The sequence below is a fragment of the Homo sapiens genome, chromosome 12, assembly GCF_000001405.40.
Source record: "Homo sapiens chromosome 12, GRCh38.p14 Primary Assembly".
In the NCBI taxonomy this organism is placed as follows: domain Eukaryota; kingdom Metazoa; phylum Chordata; class Mammalia; order Primates; family Hominidae; genus Homo; species Homo sapiens.
This window is the reverse complement of record NC_000012.12, coordinates 27293805-27314984: the sequence shown is the minus strand read 5'-3', so window position 1 is coordinate 27314984 and position 21180 is coordinate 27293805. Positions and strand designations below refer to the sequence as shown.

General features: G+C 37.3%; 1 protein-coding gene across 1 annotated transcript in view; it reads right to left on the bottom strand.

Moving 5' to 3' along the window:
- STK38L (serine/threonine kinase 38 like) overlaps positions 1 to 21180 on the bottom strand; it is an 81674-nt gene that overhangs the window by 10975 nt on the left and 49519 nt on the right. Inside the window, exons 2-7 of the mRNA NM_015000.4 lie at positions 17131 to 17275; positions 12797 to 12848; positions 6524 to 6646; positions 5788 to 5871; positions 2313 to 2436; positions 327 to 481 (exon numbers count right to left, since the gene is read on the bottom strand). Of these exons, the coding sequence (NP_055815.1) occupies positions 327 to 481; positions 2313 to 2436; positions 5788 to 5871; positions 6524 to 6646; positions 12797 to 12848; positions 17131 to 17264 (672 nt within the window). The 5' untranslated portion in view covers positions 17265 to 17275. The remainder of the gene's footprint in view (positions 1 to 326; positions 482 to 2312; positions 2437 to 5787; positions 5872 to 6523; positions 6647 to 12796; positions 12849 to 17130; positions 17276 to 21180) is intronic.

The following is a 21180-nucleotide window of genomic DNA, read 5'->3' as shown; positions in this document are numbered from 1 at the left end:
ATTAACTTTGAAAACAAAAAGCCTTGTTATAAACTCCTCTATTAAATGGCAATTATAATAAAAATTCTTAGCTTGGGATTTATACACGTAAAATGTAAAATTTTAAGTATCTGATGATGATTTTTAAAAGTAGAAAATGGAGGGAGATAAAAAGAGAGCCATATTCCCTGTTGTCATTTAATTCCCAAGTCCTCTCCTAGTACCTTATCATATAATGTTGTTTAGCAATATTCTAAATTGCAGTTGCTGATTTCCATTCACAAAATCAGCCCTACTGCTCTAAAAAATAATCAACAGCCTAGTAATTCACCAGTTTATTCACATGCCTTGGCATCCAATAAAAGGTTGTCTGGCTTAATATCCCGATGGATGAAACCCAACTGGTGGATCGCATCTATTGCCAGAACAGTCTCTGAAATGTAGAACTGTGTTTCCTCTTCTGTCAAGGTGTCTTTCTTCATTAGCAATGTCATCATGTCACCTAAATAAAGGATAGTCAAATATATTATTATTGAAAATGCCTCAAAGGTGGAATACCTTGTAAAAGCTTTCCTGCTTTTTTTACTTTTTTTTTTTTTTTTTTGGAGACAGAGTCTCACTCTGTTGCCTGGGTTGGAGTGCAGTGGTGTGATCATGGCTCACTGCAACCTCCGCCTCCTGGGTTCAAACAGTTTTCATGCCTCAGCCACCCAAGTAGCTGAGATTACAGGTGTGCACCACCACACCCAGCTAATTTTTGTATTTTTAGTAGAGATGGGGTTTTGCCATGTTGGCCAGGCTGGTCTCAAACTCCTGGTTTCAAGCTATCTGCCTGCCTTGGCCTCCCAAAGTACTGGGATTACAGGCATGAGCCACCATGCCCAGCTAGCTTTCCTGAGTTTGCATTTTATGATCTACCCAGTATATTTCTAACCACATCTTGGGACAAATAAAAGTGCTATTGCATAGCAGAAGTTTCATGACTTTTAATGGTTTTAAGGCAGAGACCATGTGAAATCAAATCACAAAAGAGCTGATAATGAAGTAATATCTACCACTCAACTTCTAGAATTAACTGCTGAGGAAAATGTCAAACTGCAAAAAAATCAGAATAAGTGCACCTGGAAACGAAATATATTCTTTTAGAGTTTAGTGGGACATTATCCCACTAAAAAAGGCACCTGCAGACATTCTTTTATTTTCAAGGAATTTTAAAAGTTTTAACAGTTTTAACTGTTGTAAACACTGGTGCACTTACAACACAGAATTGACAACTGATTACATTTTTTTCATATATTTTTTGAGGCTTTAAAAAAAATAGGGAGCCAGGGGCAGTGGTTCACGCCTGTATTCCCAACACTCTGGGAGGCTGAGGTGGGTGGATCACTTGAGGTCAGGAGTTTGAGACCAGCCTGACCAACATGGTGAAACCCCGTCTCTACTAAATACAAAAAAAATTAGCTGGGCATGGTGGTGGGCACCTGTAATCCCAGCTACTCAGGAGGCTGAGACAGGAGAATCGCTTGAACCCGGGAGGCAGAGGTTGTAGTGAGCCAAGATCACACCACTGCACTCCAGCCTAGGCAACAGAGCGAGACTTCATCTCAAAAAATAAAAATTAAAACAAAACAAAACAAAACCCAGAATTCTTTGCCCTCCATTGCCATTCTTTTCCCCTTGCCCTCTTTGCTGAGCAATGATTAAACCTCTTTCCTTTATAAATTACACAGTCTCAGGTATTTTTTTTTTTTTTTTTTGAGACGTAGTCTCGCTGTTTTCGCCCAGGCCGGACTGCAGTGGCGCTATCTCGGCTCACTGCAAGCTCCGCCTCCCGGGTTCACACCATTCTCCTGCCTCAGCCTCCCAAGTAGCTGGGACTACAGGCGCCCGCCACTGCGCCCAGCTAATTTTTTTTATTTTTAGTAGAGACGGGGTTTCACCTTGTTAGCCAGGATGGTCTTGATCTCCTGACCTCGTGATCCATCCGCCTCGGCCTCCCAAAGTGCTGGGATTACAGGCGTGAGCCACTGCGCCCATCCAGTCTCAGGTATTTTTTGTAACAACATAAAATAAACTAACACAACTTATAACAACCTAATTATATACAGTGAACCCAGAACGGTAATATTTAAAATGTGCTAACTTTATAATTCCTTCAAAACAATCTGTTTTGTGGTAAAAATGAGCATCAATATGGTAGTAAATATTTTTAAACTGTGACTATGTAAAGCCTCAGAGCAAAGAATATAAAAGTAAACCTCACCAATAAAATTATTGTTGCATATAAAGATGTGCTTGTATCAGTCTGTCATTGATACAATGTTTGCTTTTACCTCCAGGGAGAAATTCCATGATTAGATAAAGATTCCTCTTATCCTGAAAACTGTAAAACATCTTCACCACCCAGGCACCATCTGCTTCTACCAAAATATCTCTTTCTGCTCGGATATGGGCCACCTAGATGAATATATTTTTGAAAAAAATAATTGTAAATACATCACACATTTGTTAAACTCATCTCTTACACTTATCCATCCATAACAGTTAATGAAGGAAAGATGGAGTTTCAGAAGATTTGATACATGTATGAATGTTCGTATTCTCATCAAATATGGAGAACCTCAAGAAATAGTTTATTTTAGCTTATATCTTTAGGTCTGAAAAGGTGAGGTCAACAGGTATATTACGTGAAGCTGAGGCCTCTGAGGTAGAGCAAGAATCAGTCTAACAACTTTTTAACCAGAATCTCTACCCAGCCTAGGATCCTGGCTTTGTCACATAAATTTAGGGCACTAGTGTGATTTTTAAAGTTAAAAGTAGTAAGCAGGGCCGGGCACAGTGGCTCACGCCTGTAATCCCAGCACTTTGGGAGGCCAGGGCAGGTGGATCACGAGGTCAGGAGATTGAGACCATCCTGGCTAAAACGGTGAAACCCCGTCTCTACTAAACATACAAAAAATTAGCCAGGCATGGTGGCACACACCAGTAGTCCCGGCTACTCAGGAGGCTGAGGCAGGAGAATCGCTTGAACCCGGGAGGCGGAGGTTGCAGTGAGCCGAGATTGCGTCACTGCACTCCAGCTTGGTGACAGAACGAGACTCCATCTCAAAAAAAAAAAGAGTAAGCAATGCCCTGTAAATTGGTACAGCAAACCTAAGCTTGGCTAAAAATAGCAAACTATTTTTAATTGTTAAACAAAGGTCCCAGCTTGATCATTATTTGGTGTTTTTTAAAGAAATAGTAACAATTATAGTAACTTTATGTTATATTATTGTTATAATATAAAACCTCTACCATATCTATAAATGTTAGCTAAAGCAAATTTGTGTAACTTTTGGGGATTTTGCCACTGATTTCTCGGACACATAATTACTAGAGATACTATCATGTGAAAATGTTATAGACTGGAAAATTTTATAAACTGGATAATTTATGGGGTTGGTATAACTGGTCAGTTTGCAGATGCTTTTGCATTAATATATTTATACACTTTTTCCAAAGATTAATAAGATTTGATTTATGCTTTTGCTATTTTCATTGTGCAACGTTAAAAACTCTGGTCCAAAGCACATGAGAACATACATTTGTAAACCTTTCTATGATAATAAAATATGATCTGCTTAAAGTGTCATATTTGGAATTACTCCTAGTGCAGTAAATATTCTGAGATCAAAGCGTAAGAGTTGAGGAGTAAGAACTTGTCTTCTGGCATGAAAATACTTTATAATTTCTATGGATCTGTTTCATTAAGTGAAAAGTGGTAGCAAGAGTGCCTACCTATTACCTTTCATGAAGCAATTTAAGGTGGTAAGGAAAAGCCCTAAACTTTGGTGTTGCATCTGGTGTGTAAGGAAAACAACTACAACATAAACATGGCTTGATTATTTTTAAATGGTTTAAAGCCAAATTACAGGATCCCTTTCCAAAACAGGATCCAAAGGTTGGAAAGTATGACCTATAGTAATCTGGTAGAACAACAGTGAGGAGATCAGTTGGTATTTAATTTTGTGGGGGTGGTTTGCATTAAAATAAATGTGATAAAAGTTAAAATATTGATGTATTAGAATTGAGTAGAAAAAAGCTTTCTAAAACAAAATCCAGTGGTAACAAATGCAAATTAATTTATACAGGGGTAAAAAACAACCCCAAAATGCAAAGGCAACTAGACGTTAGGCTACGGAGAGATTTCCGCCCCCCACCTCCCCACAGGAAAGAGCAGTGGTCCAGAGGCTCCTTAACTTCCCACAAAATATTGTAGACCAAGGGCTGTCCAGTACAGATGTAACACAAGTCATGTATGTAATTTTTAAATTTTCTAGAAGCCACATACAGAATGAAATTATTTTTAATAATACAGTTTATGTAACCTAATATATCCGAATATTATCACCTTAGTATGTAATCAATATAAAAATCATTGAAATATTTTATTTATTTATTTATTTATTTTTGCACCAAGCCTTATTTGCTGGATATCCCAATTTGTGCCCAGTAGCCACATGTGGCTGGCTGGTATCTACACTACAGCTGGAACTAACTGCTTCCTTCTGTCCTTCCTATTATACCCTAGTAGGACTAATCCCATTATGGCTAAGTTAGATTCCTGTTGCCCTCCCTGTCTCTGAGGCTATGCATCTTTACCCACGTCCTTATTGCCATCATTATCTTTCTTTTTTCTTCCTTTTTGTGGAGAATGGGGTCTTGCTATATTCCCATCATTATCTATAGTTCTCTAATCCAACTCAGTATCTCAACCTTCCTTGCCTTCCACACCTCTTCCCTCTGGGGAATCATAGCCTGTCATCAACAAAATCCCCTATAACCCTGTCTCCTGATGGTTCCTATTACCTTCTTAACCTAACTGAAACTAGGGTGAAAAATCACCCAGCTATGCCAATGGGTTTCACTTTAAATTCATGACTGCAAATCTCAATGAGCCTTCAACTGCATTTCCTTAGCAGGTCTGCTTTCCCGCACCTGAAAATGACCATTTCACAATTTCTCTCCTTAAATATTCAAAAAGCCATCCCTCCTTTACTCGAAGCCACCCCTTGTAACTGCATTAAGGCACAGGAAACATGCAGAGAGCCCAGAATATTTACAAGGTTACAGATTTTAGAAATATGTAAAATCAGCAAATTTCCAGGAGACTAGTTTTGATTATCTGATATGTGACAGGGATTCTGGGAGCTGAGAACTGTCCTTTATTTTCATTGTAGTCAGAAAAGGAGGTATTTCAGAAGGTATGTACTGAATGTTCATGCATCTACAAAATTCATAGAGTAAAGCTTTAATCTCCAATGAGGCTGTATTTGGAGATGGACCCTTAGGGAATTAATTAAGGTTAATTAATGAGGTCATAAGGGTGGAATTAATGTCCTTATAAGAAGAGACACCAGAGAGTTCTCACAGGAGTGTGTGTCCCCGCACACACCAAGGAAAGGCCATGTGAAAACTTAGTGAGAAGGTGGCCATCTGCAAGCCAGGAAGAGAGGCCTCACCAGAAACCAAAACCTGCCCAAACTTTCATTTTTGACTTGTAGCCTCCAGAACTATGAGAAAATAAGTTTCTGTTGTTTAAGCTAACCAGCCTGTTGTGTTCTGTTATGGAAGTCTAAGCAGACATACATAGATTATAAATTTAGAAGAAACCTTAAAAGAACTGAGAAACACTAAAACAGGCTACCAAAAAATTAATAGCTTATGTAGTAAGATGTGTAAACTGCTTCTTAAAAATTCTAATATAAACACTCTTAACACTGCGTCAGTGGATGCTCCTTTATATTACATGTGTTAAAGAACTCATACCTGCTCTTTTTCAAGCATATCAGACTTTCTCAATATCTTCATTGCATAGATATGGCCTGTATCTTTCTTCTGGACCAACCGCACCTAAAAGATAAAAAACATATATTATAAAACAGTCACTACTATTTGTTCAGGAAAGAAAAGTAACTTCCCTTAAAGAAAGCAGGAATTTGCCAGTGTTGGTATTTCAGGAATTTTATATATATATATCTATATATTTTTATATCTATATATTTTTATATATGTTATATATATATTTATATATATTTTATATATATTAATATATATTTATATATATTTATATATTTACATTTATATATATTTATATTTATATATATTTTTTTATATATACATACAAACACATATATATATTTTTTTGAGAGAGCGTTTCACTCATGTTGCCCAGGCTGGAGTGCAATGGTGGGATCTCAGCTCACTGCAACTTCTGCCTCCTGGGCTCAAGCGATTCTCCTGCCTCAGCCTCCCAAGTAGCTGGGATTACAGGTGCCCACCACCACGCCCAGCTAATTTTTGTATTTTTATAGAGACGGGGTTTCACTGGCCAGGCTGGTCTCGAACTCCTGACCTCAGGCGATCCACCCGCCTCGGCCTCCCAAAGTATTGGGATTACAGGCGTGAGCCACCGCACCCAGCCAGGAATTATATTTTAACACATATTTTAAATTATCTTAAGATATATATTTGCAGCAGTAGTGACTTTTAAAAAGAAGCACACCTCTCCAAAAGCTCCTCTTCCTATAACTTTCAGAGACTCAAAGTCATCCAAGCCAAGTCTGGTCCTTTTGAGCCGTAAGAACTCTGTTTCTTTGCGAGCGTGTTGTGATCGACGTAACTTTTTCTATTAAAAAAAAACAATTTAAACGGATGATTTTATAATTAGGTTGTTTTGATGGAGCTTCTAGTATTAAAAGATGATACACGTAAAAATAAATGATAGCACTAATATGTAATATACTATTAGGCTAAAACAATTTAAAGAAAACTTTCTAAAATTTTTAACAACTGATAAATCTTTACTTTTGAGGTGGACTCCATTAAATATGTAATTCAGTCCATCATATTTGTCTATATATATATATATGTATAACTTATTCTTTCATCTATATGGTAACAATTCCATAAATAAAAATTAAATGTTAGTAAATGTTAATGGTATTCTGATACTGATTTTTATTCTGTCAGGAAATCTGCTTTGCTTCAATTCCTTAATTTCCAAGGTTGCTCTTTCACAACTACTGAGACTTGTGACAATAAAATAACAACATAATGGTAGTGTTTCCAAAGAGATTTACTTGTGGTAGAATTTACTCTTGGGCAAATTTTAATAAACTGCTTGAGACCTGGCATAGAACTTCCTGAAAATATAAAATTGCAAAAACAATTACAAGAAGAAGTCATTAAAATATCCAAGTTGGTAATTTCATAACTGATTCTACAAAGACCACAAAAAATAACTTCCATTAATAAGCAATACTGTGAAATACCTGCAGGTTACATTTGGAACAGGTATTTATTTTATTGTTCTAAACTTCATTTTTCACCCTCACCAATCAAAATTCTGTTTTTGGACATAGTTAGCTCCTAGTAGAGGAAACACTAAGTGGAAAAGAAACAATATCAGTGAAAAAATTTAACTCCTGTTCATCTTCAACTGAATCCTGCCAAGCTTTTAGTGGTTCAGTTTGGAGGGACAGACAAATCAAAATGAAAGTAACAGCTTAGAAACATTGCTTCTAAATGCAGCTCATGGTATAGCCTCTCCCTACTCCTGTATATATCTGTTTTTAAAAGGGTTAGGTGAACTATTAATTAGAAATATGTATGTAAACATGTATTATCAATGCAATGGAATTCTGATACTTCTAACAAAGTTAATCTAAGAAGATGAAATCAAGAAATGTCTTCAAACAGCTAAATGAAGTTATACACTAAGGCACACCAATGGTGTAAATTATGACAGTAATGAAGATAAAAATCAAGTACACAAATTAACAGGCTTTGCCTAATGTCTTTTTTTAATGTCTTTAATGTCTTTTTTTAAATGTCTTTTTCCACATCTGATATTGATTATAAAATACAATGGTACTATGGAAAAAGTAAGCAAACAACAATGAAAGATTATTTTTTTCAGTAAGAAGTGAGGCGATAAGCCGGGTGTGGTGGCTCACGCCTATAATCCCAGCACTTTGGGAGGCCGAGGTGGATGGATCATGAAGTCAGGAGATCGAGACCATCCTGGCCAACATGGTAAAACCCCGTCTCTACTAAAAATACAAAAATTAGCCGGGCGTGGTGGCATGCACCTGTACTCAGGAGGCTGAGGCAGGAGAATCACTTGAACCCGGGAGGCAGAGGTTGCAGTGAGCTGAGATCCCATTGCACTCCAGCCTGGGTGACAAGACCGAAACTCCATCTCAAATATATGTGTGTGTGTGTGTGTGTGTGTGTGTGTGTGTGTGTGTTTATAAAATTCCTGAAATACCAACACTGGCAAATTCCTGCTTTCTTTAAGGGAAGCTACTTAAATATCAGTTTTAACGGAGCTAAAATTACATTGATATAATTAAGAAAACAAATGTGGCCTGAAACAATAGTGAAGACTATTTTTTGCTGCTTTTTACCTAAATGCAATGACAAATACCCTTTTTTGCACATAGGTGTTCAAAAATACCTTTTGAATAATAAAAAAATAAATTACTAGTAAAACAAAAGAGAGCTCTAAAAAGTATCTGATTTTAAATTTTAAGACTAATTTTTAAAAGGCCACTTGGTGGCACTATAGTATCATGTCCTTTAAGGAAGTAGTGAGGAGGGTTTTTTTTTAATTACATAAAAGAATAAGAATTTTGAAAGTATTTTGAATCTCTCCCTTTATAGATTATAAAACAGTACAGTTGGATATAGTTGCAGAAATCCTGCTTAATCTGAATGGAAAAGATGACATCACTATACACAGTTTCATAAATTGTCTAGTAGTTTGTATAATGCAGCACTCACACAATTTATGTGGTTTTGGGCCCAGCCATTTAATAGCAAAAAGAGAGAGTCACAAGTGTATGGAACACATAATTCTATAAAAATGAGCATCACCTATAACATTGTTACATTAGTTAAAAAAAATTGATTCCATGATTTTAGTCTTAGAATCAGTGTTGCAGTCCAGAGGTAGCTGAATCAAATTCATGTTAAAAAAAAAATTGGTGAAAAAGCCTGTTGATATATCTACTCACAACCTGTATAGATTAAGTAGCCTTGAAAGACAAACAGTATCCTTGTGGTAATTGCATCCTTTCCTCTTCAAAGAAGACAATAAAAATCTGTGGACAGCTTAACATTTCACGACTCTCTTTTATAGCTTGAACTTGCCTATTTAGTTTTTCATTAGAGTAAATAACATTCCATGTTGGATGGGATTTTCTTAAGTGAGATGAAACTAGAAAGTGCTTTTCTTCCTTTCTCCATTCCTTTTTATATAGGTGTTCCTCAAACTCTCCATCTGTAGGGTGGCCAGTATTTGTATAAGACAGACAGTGCATACAAAATTTTTCAGATGAAAAGGGTTCAGCTAGCAACTTTATCTATTTTATTTTTATGAGACAATTTTATTTTTTATCAAACCCACCCCATATAAAGATGCTGTAACATACTTTATATTAAGGTTGAGAGAGCTTGTCTATTTTACAGAATTTGATATAATCCAGGCTCTAGCATGGAGCCTAATAATAAGCACCTGTGGAATTAAAAACATTTTTTAGAGAAAAACATTAGAAGTTTTATAAACTGGTATTATGGGCCACTGACTATTTTTTATGGAAAAATCATCTCCTATTTTCTACAAGTTATTCAGAAAAATTAGAGAAAATAGCTGTAAATGTAGTCAGTACTTGCTGATGCAGACCAGAAGTTGCAAACAGGAAGCTACAAACTATATTCAACCTACAGATATATTTGATTTGGACTGCAAGTTGTTTTTCAAAAGCAGGTGATTGGTTATTCTGCAAAAAAAGTCCAGATTACTAGCTTCTCTGGAAAAACAGGGCCTTGGCCACAGGGGCCAATGGTAGCAATCCTCTTTAGATGAGCCTTGGTTCCCTAATTTGTCAGTCCCCACCACTGATGCGAGTCCCTAGGAGGCATGTCCACATGGGCTGGGACTCTTATTACAGCAATGTGAAAAGTGGCATGTCTTTGCCAACAGATAAACTGTAAGGATCAATATTTAAGAAAATAATATTTTTTAAAAAGGAAAAATATTAATCTATTTCTTTGTGGAAGCAAAAAAAAAATCATATAAGTTGAATATGTAAACAAAGTATATCTGGATCAAAAGAATATAACCCTAGATGCCACTATGAAACCAACCTGGCCAGCTTATCTCACTTCCGTTGCCTGCTTAGTGTTTGGGCATCTGTTTTTGCAGTCTCTTCCCCTACACTTCAAATTAAGATCTTATGTTTAAGATTTCTATATCAATATAATGATGTATAATATATAAATGCAATTATATGGTTATTAATTATAAGAAATTTATAATTCTAACTTTAAAATGAGGAAAGATATGCTCAGTCTTATTTTTTCTCTATAGATTGGAATACAGATTTAAATCACTACCTTTCTCACTAAAATTTAAAGGACATAAATGAGCTTTTAAAATATTAATGACATGTAAATAATGATAGATAATTTTAAATGTAAAAACATCTGAGTTTTCTAGATTGAGTCAACTGATTAACAAAGTTACCACCTTTAGTATAAGTCATAAAATATTGTATTTGATTTAAACATTGCAACTATAAGGAACAGCTACAGTCCTAGGAAAGGTACAGGGAAGATTAGATACTGATTTGATTTCAATTAATCATTTGATGATGGTCTACTCTTTAAATATAGAAACTCTTTTTTTTTTTTTTTTTTTTTTGAGACAGACTCTCACCCTGTCACCCAGGCTGGAGTGCAATGGCATGATCTCAGCTCACTGCAGCCTCTGCCTTCTGAGCTCAAGTGATCCTCCCACCTGAGCCTCCTGAGTAGCTGGGACTACACACACAGGACACCATGCTTAATTTTTAAAATTTTTTGTAGAGACCAGGTCTTACTATATTTCCCAGGCTGATCTTGAACTCCTGGGCTCAAGTGATCCTCCCATCTTGGCCTCCCAAAGTGCTGGGATTACAGGTGTGTGCCACTGCACTCAGCATGTTAAACTAATTAATCTGGGTTGTGACTCCCTATTGCCTAGTACTAAAGTATACCTTTTTTAGTAAACTATTCTAAACCTAGCTTTCCATGGTGTGCTATCAACTTACCTCACTATTTCCTTTTATTGCACCCTTTATAGCTCAAATGTAAACTCATTATTCTGTACATGTATTCATTATTTTGTATACATCCCTTACCTCTAATGTAAATTCTACCCATTCTTTACAATTCAAATCAATTATTACTTCTTCTATGAAACATTTTCTGATCCTCTGAATTAGAGGAAAAATCTTCTCTATATTTTCAACGTTCACCACATTCTATCATGCGTACATATTTTTACACACACACACTCACTCACTCTCCCTCTCCTAATCTAAAACTCCTTGAGGGCAAAAGCCATTATTTGTTTATTCACCAAATATTTATTCTAGCTCTCTGCCAGACAGCTGTGGAGATGTAATGCTCAACAAGATGTTACAGTGTCTAGTCTTTGGGAAGACTGTATTTTAAGGCTCCCATGGGGACAGGAACAGTAGAATACAGAAGGTACCTTGAGAGGTTAAGGAAGATTTCCCAGTGGAAGTGATGCCTGAAGTGAGGCCTAAAGCTGCTGCTTTGCCCAGGCTGGAGTGAAGTGACATGATCATAGCTCATGGCAACCTCAAACTCTCAGGCTCAGGTGATCCTCCCACTTCAATCCTACCAAGTAGCTAGGACTACAGGCACGTACCACCATGCCCAGCTACTAAAGATTCTTGAAGAATAATGGGAGTTGGGTAGGAGTGAGGAAGAGTTCCAAGCAGCAGAAAGAGCATGTGAAAAGGTCCACAGGCAAGACAGGGGACATCAAAGAAATTCATACTTGTCAGCGTCGGGGGCGGGTGACAAGAGATGAGGCTAGAGAGAGATAAGCAGAGGCCAAGTAGTGAAGGTATACCAATTTTTTTTTTTTTTTTTTTTTTAAGACGGAGTCTTGCTCTGTCGCCCAGGCTGGAGTGCAGTGGCGCGATCTCGGCTCACTGCAAGCTCTGCCTCCCGGGTTCACACCATTCTCCTGCCTCAGCCTCCTGAGTAGCTGGGACTACAGGCGCCTGCCACCGCTCCTGGCTAATTTTTTTTTTTGTATTTTTAGCAGTGACGGGGTTTCACCGTGGTCTCGATCTCCTGACCTCGTGATCCACCCGCCTCAGCCTCCCAAAGTGCTGGGATTACAGGTGTGAGCTACCGCGCCCGGCCCAGGTATACCAATGTTAAAGAGCTTGCCCATATCCCGAGATAAGGGAGCCAGTGAAGGGTTATTAAGCAAAAGAGTAAGATGATCAAATCTATTTTTAGACCAATTACTCTAGCTGCAGTATGCAGAAAAACTGGGGGTGGGAAATGGGGAGACCAGTTGGGGACAGTTATTTTTCAGGTTAAAATATATGGTAGTTTAAACCAGGGTAATAGCACTGAACTAGAGAAATAGATAGCTTTAAAAGAATATTTAGAAAAAATTTTAGAAAAGCTAACGATTGATTAATTCCTCCCGGAGCTTGCCTTTCTCATTCCACACACCTAAAATACACTTGGCAATGTTCTCTTAAATACGTGTTCTTGGAATTTAAGAAAAAAACAAAACTGCCTCCTTCTAAAGATATCAATAAAAGATATCCATGACAGCAACAAAGAAGCCCATATTCAAATGATAAAATCCACATTATTTAAGTTATAAAATACCTGATGTCAAATGAATGAAAAGTCACTGGGGGTGCTTTTGTACAGTAATTATAGGTAATTACATTACCTCTTCATCTGCTAATCCTTCTTCTTCCATGGCCACTTCTAATTTCTTCTGCCTTTTCAAAGGAAAAAAAAATTAAATTTTAAATACATTCCTAACTATTTCCACTTAAGAAATATACATTTATTTATTCAGGTTAACCACTTCAGCTTGCTAGGCTAAAAAAAAAAAAACTTTCAAGTTGGATCAACATAATCACTAAGAATAGTTTTCTTTCTCAAAAAACAAACCCAGATTTTGCTTTCTCATACTGGCCAAATGAATAATTTACTTCTAAGGCTTACTTCACGCTCCTGCCTAAATGAAATGTTGGCAATGACTGATGTTCTAATATGGAAAACTCTGCTACTTAATGTTCAATCTACCAATATCATTAATATTTCCCAATGCTTATATTAGAAATATAAAAAGATAACTATACTGACTAAAAGTATAAAATTTTAAGGTAAATATCCCTGGTTCTAACACTTATTAGCTAAATGAGCTTGGCTAAGTCCCTCACTGAAACTCTAAGCTCAGTTTTCCTTAACTTATGAAGGAAAAATGTTCAATGCAATTGCATTTATTTTATTGTATTAAAATTATTTGAAAATTGGAAAGTCATATATGTGTGTTTTTAAAAACCCACCAGCGGCCGGGTGCGGTGGCTCACGCCTGTAATCCTAGCACTTTGGGAGGCCGAGGTGGGCGGATCACGAGGTCAGGAGATCGAGACCATCTTGGCTAACACTGTGAAACCCCGTGTCTACTAAAAATACAAAAAAAATTAGCCGAGCATGGTGGCTGGCGCCTGTAGTCCCAGTTACTTGGGAGGCTGAGGCAGGAGAATTGCTTGAACCTGGGAGGCGGAGGTTGCAGTGAGCCAAGATCGTGCCACTGCACTCCAGCATGGGCGACAGAGTGAGACTCTGTCTCTAAATAAATAAATATTTTTTAAAAACCCACTAGCTACCAGAACATTTGCTTTTCTAGGTACAGCCAGGTTCAGTTATTCATTTTTTTTAAACAGCACCCTTGAAGTTAGTTAAGCTGAGCATCTGGGGTAAGGGCAGTGTGGATGAAGTAACTAAAACTAGAGAGATGGTTGTGGAACACATTTTGCAACTCATTTCCAAGTGAGTATTAGTATTTTATTTCTATTGTATTGGTTTTCCCTAAATATAAACCTAGCAGAACTCCTCCTAATTAGTTCTGGAGTGTGTCAGAATAACAGTAACTTTTCAGGATTTAACTGAATGGGTATAAGGGTTAAGGATTGAAACCCTCCCACAACTTTTTGATATTTCTTATTCATGGCTACATGTCCAAAGGTAAGCTTTTTTACTAAACCATCATTAAGATCACTTAGTTTTCCTTCTTATAGAAGATTTGTAACATTTAAAGCCTGTTGATACATCAGCACCCCACTGGAGAGGATGAGGCCTAAGAGCATATTCTCCAACACATGTTTCCTCAGTGCTTGTCATAGGCACCTACCTTGGTGCTTATTACACTGATTTTTGTCTTTTGTTTATGCATTATTTCCCCTAGGCCCCAACCCTTAGACAAGAATAATCTCCTAACATCAGATTCTGTGCTGCCATCACCTACCCCTAGGCACTTCAGTGCTGCTTGTTGAATGATTTCCAGTTTTCTCCTCTGCAGAAAGAATCCAGAGAGTAAGAGGACCATTATTCTGGGAGGAGCTATAACATATAAACAACTTTATTCTTCTGTCAAATTTCCACTGTCCCTTTCCTCAGTTATTGCCAAGACTAACACTTCATGAAATCATTCCTCATTCTGGAAGAGATACAGTAACTTTTATCCATTTCTACCATATCTAAACAGGAAGATCCATGATTTCTGTTGTACCTTTTTTAAAAATAGTTTTCCACCTAAAATGCTCTTATGCTTTGCTCTGATTAGAAATTTATTGGGCTTATGCATTTATCCAATTAGTTAAGCCTTAAAAATACATCACATTTTCTTAAAAGTATAAGCTTTTAGAAAATATGAGCAGATTGTTCGACTTGACATACAGTGGCACCAAGCTGAGACTACTTTTTTTTTCAATAACACAGATAATTTTATTGTTACTTTCCTTTATTTGGAAAAAGAAAGCAAACTGAATTACTTTAACACTGCAGCAAGTAAAGACAATGAACCTTCGAAATTCTGATGAATTTTTTTAAGTGCCTGCTTTTTCTTCCTTGGTTCTCTTCTACTTTATTCACTCTCCCAGGATGGTCTGATCACTTCCAGAGACTTTAATTACCCTTGTAATTCATTTAATTATTGATATATTTAGATTTTTATTTCTAACTTATTTTGTGCTATTTTGGTATTTCATTTTTACCATTTTTGGTATTTCAGTTTTTCTTTCTCTCTTGCATTCTTTTTGAACTGACTTTTTTTTTCTCATTCCAATTTTTTCCTTCTACTAGTCTGGAAATTACAAACTCTATTTTTATCATTTTATGGTTACTCTAGAACTTACAACATAATTTGTCAAACTCTGAAGCTAATCTCTATGCCCTTTCTACTAAGATCATTAAGAACACCTTAATTCTAATTACTTCTTTCCTGAATTATATTCTGCTGTTGGAAAATATTATCGTTCTATTTTTTAATGTGTAAGATATTATCGCTATTATTTCTGTTGCTTTATATAATTTTTGTTGAGATTTATCCACCTACTTACCATTTAAATCTTCTATTTGTGGTCACTTTCCTTCTGCCTAAATGGAACTTTTTGGAATTTCTGCTGATGCTAACTCTTTTTTTGTTTGTTTGCCTCTGCTCTATTTTCATTCCTTTCCTCCCTTTCAGAACTTTTAGAGATATGTCAAGTCTTCTCATGATTCTCCATGTTTCTCAACTCTCTTTCACATATTCCTATTTTAAGTTGATTTCTGAATAATTATTTTCCAGTTCACTAATTCTCACCATACCTGTATCTAATCTGCAGTTAAATCCGTCCAAAATTAAATGAGACTTTTCCTCTCTATTTCATTTAAACTGTACCACTCTCAGTTTGCCCAGGCATGAAATTTCAGAGGCAACATTGACTTATTTCCCTCACATTTCATATTTTGCTAGTAGCCACATTTTGTCAATCTTTCTTACTTGTCAGTTCTCTGTTGTTGTTGTCACAATTCTAATTCAAGCCTCCTTTCCATTTACCTGGACTACATCACTAGACTTTCCTGTTTCTAATTCCCCACCCTGACCCCAAACCATTCTCTGTATCACAACTAAAGTTCCTTTCTAGAGAAACACTTGTTTTCATTTGATTCTTCTGCTCAAAAACATCCAAGGCTCTCCACTACCATGAAAAGAGCTACATTAACAAAGAATCCAAGGCTCCCAGGATGTTGGAATCTAGCACATCCTGTGCTTGAGCGAAATTGGACACTGCCTGACCTGGTGATTTCTTCTGTCTCTAATATCCTTCCCTCCTGCTCTTTTGCCTCTGTCTCCTTCCTTTTATGCATGTATAAATAGTTCTTCTCCTTTAGAGCCCTGTTTAAATGCCACCACTATTTACAAAGCTTTCCCAGTTGCCTAGACAAAAGCACATTCTCCCTTCCTTGTACTTAATATTCTTCACTCTTTCATTTATATATTTATGTGTGTTATCTCCTTTAGTATAAGTTTTCTAAAGTCAAAATAACATGTCATTCTTTTTTTTATTCTTCTATTCCCCCTGATATGCACTGTAAATGCTTTTGGATTAAAGTCAGTCATTCATAAAGCATCTTTTTTTTTGAGACAAAGTCTCACTCTGTTGCCCAGGCTGGAGTGCAGTGGTGTGATCTTGGCTCACTGCAGCCTTGGCTCACTGCTGCCTTCAAGCAATTCTCCTGCCTCAGCCTCCTGAGTAGCTGGGATTACAGGCACCCGCCACCACACCCGGCTAATTTTTTGTATTTTCAGTAGAGATGGGGTTTCACCATGTTGGCCAGGCTGGTCTTGAACTCCTGACCTCAGGTGATCTGCCCACCTCGGCTTCCCAAAGTGCTGGGATTATAGGCATGAGCCACACCACACCAAGCCAGGCATCCCTTTAAAAGAAAATGTAAAGACATATCATAATTTCATGTTTGGAAAAGGTTTGTTTAAAACGTTAATTGGCATGTCATACGGGTATATAGATGCACAAGACTTGGGGCACCTCAGGAAACTACTCTGTGAAAATAAAACACATGTCTATGTGCACTGTCAGTACAGGAAACTCAAAAACAGCATGCAGGGATCCATAATATTCATATCATTCATGGTAAACAAGTTTCTATTCCACTCACAGCACAACAGCTTATTTAACTAAAAAAAGTTTTGATTAGCCCTTACTATACCTGGTTTCTCTCTCTTCATGCTGTAAAATTAGGTTGCTATAAAAATTCTCCAATGTGAGCTTGGCTACAGTCACTCTTTCCCGGGTATGGTTGCTCATAGGAAAGGTTGTTGTAGTCCCTGCCGTCATTGCCATAGTAACGGAAACTGAAACAACATAGAAAAACAAATTATTCAGTGGGAAAAAAAACCCCTATCTTTTATAATAAACTCTGAAAATGTTCAATTTCAACTAAGAAAAATTCGACCCTAACAGTTAACACATCCAAGTATTTCACATTATAAATAATACAAAGCTAGGGAAGAAAGAAAAGCACTATTTCCAAAGCAAGAGAAATTCATATTGTGGTGGCAAAACCAGGAGTTAATGACAGCAAAGAAGAACCAGTGGCATCCATATATAATATAGACACATTTATATACAAAGGTCACATTCAACAAGCATTCAAAACAAGAAAAGTTCCAGCTATTTTGTTGTTTCATTACTAAATAAAATCTATAAGATAGTGCTAATAGCTATGTCCCTGATAAATGTCAGTCTCCTAAGAGTTAATGCAGTTTAGTTTAATAGTAAGAAGTAGCTTCTGCCTTATGAATTCTATGAAACATGAAGTGTTGTATCAAATATGCATATAAACACCAGCCTAAAGCAACGTTCACGTATATTGTAGGGGGAAACTACTTTTAGAAACAGGCACCTTTGGATGGGGCTCATAGCTGCCCATTTCATTCTGAATTCTGGGTCATTCCAAAACGTGCTATAACAAGGTATAGTACACTTCTCCAGACTGTGCAGCCCATTTCATTTTCAAATGAAATTCAGATGCCTATAGGAACCAAGAAGGAAACAGAAATGTATGAATGAAGCCAGGTAACAACAGGGAAGCTTTGTGGCCTTAAGTGGACAATGTATGTCTGCTTAAAGGCATTCCAGTGCCAACTTTTAGAGATCACTGGGCCACGCAAACAAAGTACCGTTTCAAAGAAAATAATCTGGACTATTAGATAAGGAGTGTGGCAAAATGGCCACTTGACGGGGGGAAGACTGAACTCCGATGGCTGCGGCAGGTGGCCACTGACCCTAAGAGACTTGCCTACTACAGCCACATCTGGATAAAAAGACTAGAAGAGTTCATACATTAAAGAGGCTTTGCTTATCTAGATGAAGATCGTAACAGACCAGTCCAAAGAAGATCCAGCTTGCCAAGAGTGACCATCCAAAGCATTCTTAGTTGAAAAGTGTTCCCCAAACCTGCCACCTATGCCACAACATCCATCTTGCTTTAAGTAAAGAAGATACAGAGCCCTGGATGTGGACCTGAAGTGGACTAGATTCCAGGGTTGATGGAATGAACCAAAAGATGTCAAGCAAGTCAAGTGTAGGTTGAAAGCAAACAATTATCTATGGCAAACTCCCAGTTCTACTGTTGTCCTATTAGGGGTTTATACCTCAATGTACTGCTTGAGCCTCAGAATCACTATGTCTAAAACTGCATCTATTATTTTGGCATAAATTTGTTCCTCTGCTGACTACTTTAAATGAGAAGCTGATCGTGTCACTTGTTTAGAATCAGTCATGGTTCCTCATTGCCTACTGCAAGTCAAATTAGCTACATATGATCAATAAGAACAACTCACATACACTGAGTATGGTTATATATCAGGAACTTTATGATATTTTATTCACTGATTTCCCCCTTTTTTTCTCCTGAGGATTTAAGATAGAGGCACTTGCCATGCATGATTGCATTTCATCCTCACGACAGCCCTGCAAAGTAGGGAACTGAAGTTTGGGGCAAGTCACATAGCTAGTGTGATGTGGAGTCAGGATTCCAACTTGCTATCCTTATCTGTTGCTTTTTATATTTTCTATCCTTATCTGATGCTCTTCCTCACCACTCATTCTTTTCCCAACATACCTAGCTCTTTCATGCCTCCAAGCTCTTCCATGACCTATCCCTGAAGCAGTTATATCCACTGCAGGATATGTCTCTGCAGGAATCTGCTGATCCTTTATGGCCCAGTTTAGCTGAAGTCTTACTGCTGTGGTGACTTCTCTAACATGCTCTGCAGAAGAGGCAAAGCATTTCTCATTTTTTTGGTGCATGTTCTCTAACATTTGTAGTCAGGTACTGGTGGCTTATCACTCCTAAGAAAAATTCGGCCCTAACAGTTACTCCACCAAACCAGGAACATCTCCATGTAAGAACTCTTTCTGATTCATTTTTCAAAACTCACAACAGCACTGCATCTGACTCAGAGTAGTCATGAATGAATGAATGAGACAACCTATTGATTGGGGGGAGGGAGGGGGCGCAGTAACAGTAGTTGAAAGAATTAGCCAATAGTAAAGTGCTCTGTAAAGATTGGCTAATAAGCAACTGTGGAAAAAGAAATTACAGAAGGTAGAAGTCAGAAATTAAAAGATCTAATCCCAGCCTTGTTGCTAACTGATCATATGGTCTTATTCAAATCACCAGAACACCCTTAACTCAAGTCACTTTTCCCAAAACAGGGCTTAAAATATTTGCTCTGCCTGGTTCACAGGCCTAGTTCTAAGGCCATCTGAGATAATACACAGGAAAGCCACAATGGCTTATACAAATGTAAGATACTATTCTAGGCACCTAGTTTAATCTTTGTATTGTGCTAAATGCTTTAATAATAATGAGCATTATTTTTTAAAACAATAAATAATGAAAAATAAACTCAAGAATTATCATGGCCAAGTGATTTTTATGGATTAAGCTGCTCTTACTGAATTGCTAAAACAATGCTGCCAAATCATTTTTGGAAATTTCAGAATCATTGGGCTCATGTTCTATGTTTCAGGATCAGATGCAGAAAGGTCAAAGAATGCCAGGCACAGTGGCTCATGACTCTAATCCTGGCACTTTGTGAGGCCAAGATCATTTGAGGCCAAGAGTTTGAGATCAGCCTGGGATCTCCTCATCTCTACAATTTTTTTTTTTTTTTTACTTAGCTAGGTGTGGTAGTGCACACCTGTAGTCACAGCTACTCTGGAGGATGAGGCAGGAAGACTGCTTGAACCCTTGTTCAAGGTTACAATGAGCTGCGATTGAACCACTGCACTGCAGCCTGGGTGATGGAGCAAGACCCTGTCTCTAACTGGAAAAAAAAAAAAAGGTCAAAGAAGGAAAAGTGAAACAGGGATCGTGTATAGAAAACATCTCTGAAATCAAATCACATTTGTTAACTGGGGCTTGGGATGGGAGAGGAAGGATGGACTGGAAATTGAGGAATTTAAGTAAATTTAAGAAACCCAGACTACACAAAGTTAAATAAGTTTCTTACTATAAGACTTCCCAGCATCTTTTTTTTTTTTTTTTTTGACAGAATTTCACTCTGTTGCCCAGGCTGGAATGCAGTGGCGTGATCTCGGCTCACTGCAACCTCCACCTCCTGGGTTCAAGCAATTCTCCCACCTCAGCCTCCCGAGTAGCTGAGATTACAGGTGCACGCTAATGTTTGTATATTTAGTAGAGATGGGGTTTCACCAAGTTGGCCAGGCTGGTCTCGAACTCCTGACCTCAAGTGATCTGCCTGCCTTGGCCTCCCAAAGTGCTGGGATTACAGGTACAAGCCACCTTGCCTAGCCTTCCCAGCATCTTTAATATGCTAACATGCATCCTGAATCCTCAAAAGGAGGACAGGTGTACAATTTGCAGTAGTATTCCAGTGAACCTTCCCTAGGCATATAAAATTGCAGTTCATAGATAGTTCTCTTCAAATGCTTTTTGGTAAACAACTGCCTGTTACTTTTTCAACAAATATTTGGGGTGGGAAAACCTTAAAAGTACCATTAAAGAGCAACACCCTACGATTGTAGAATGATTTCTGACTTGCCTTGTATTTGTTCTAGCAAGCAGATACTAATGAACAGAGAAAATGTCCAGAAGATCTGTAGCCAATAAAAATTTATAAAGTGGTTTGCCACTTTACAAGTTTGCCTTAACAAAAGGTAAAGACCCAACTCTAGTTGTCCAAGGCCTTATATATTCCTTTCAAAAAGTGAATGGTGAAAAACATAA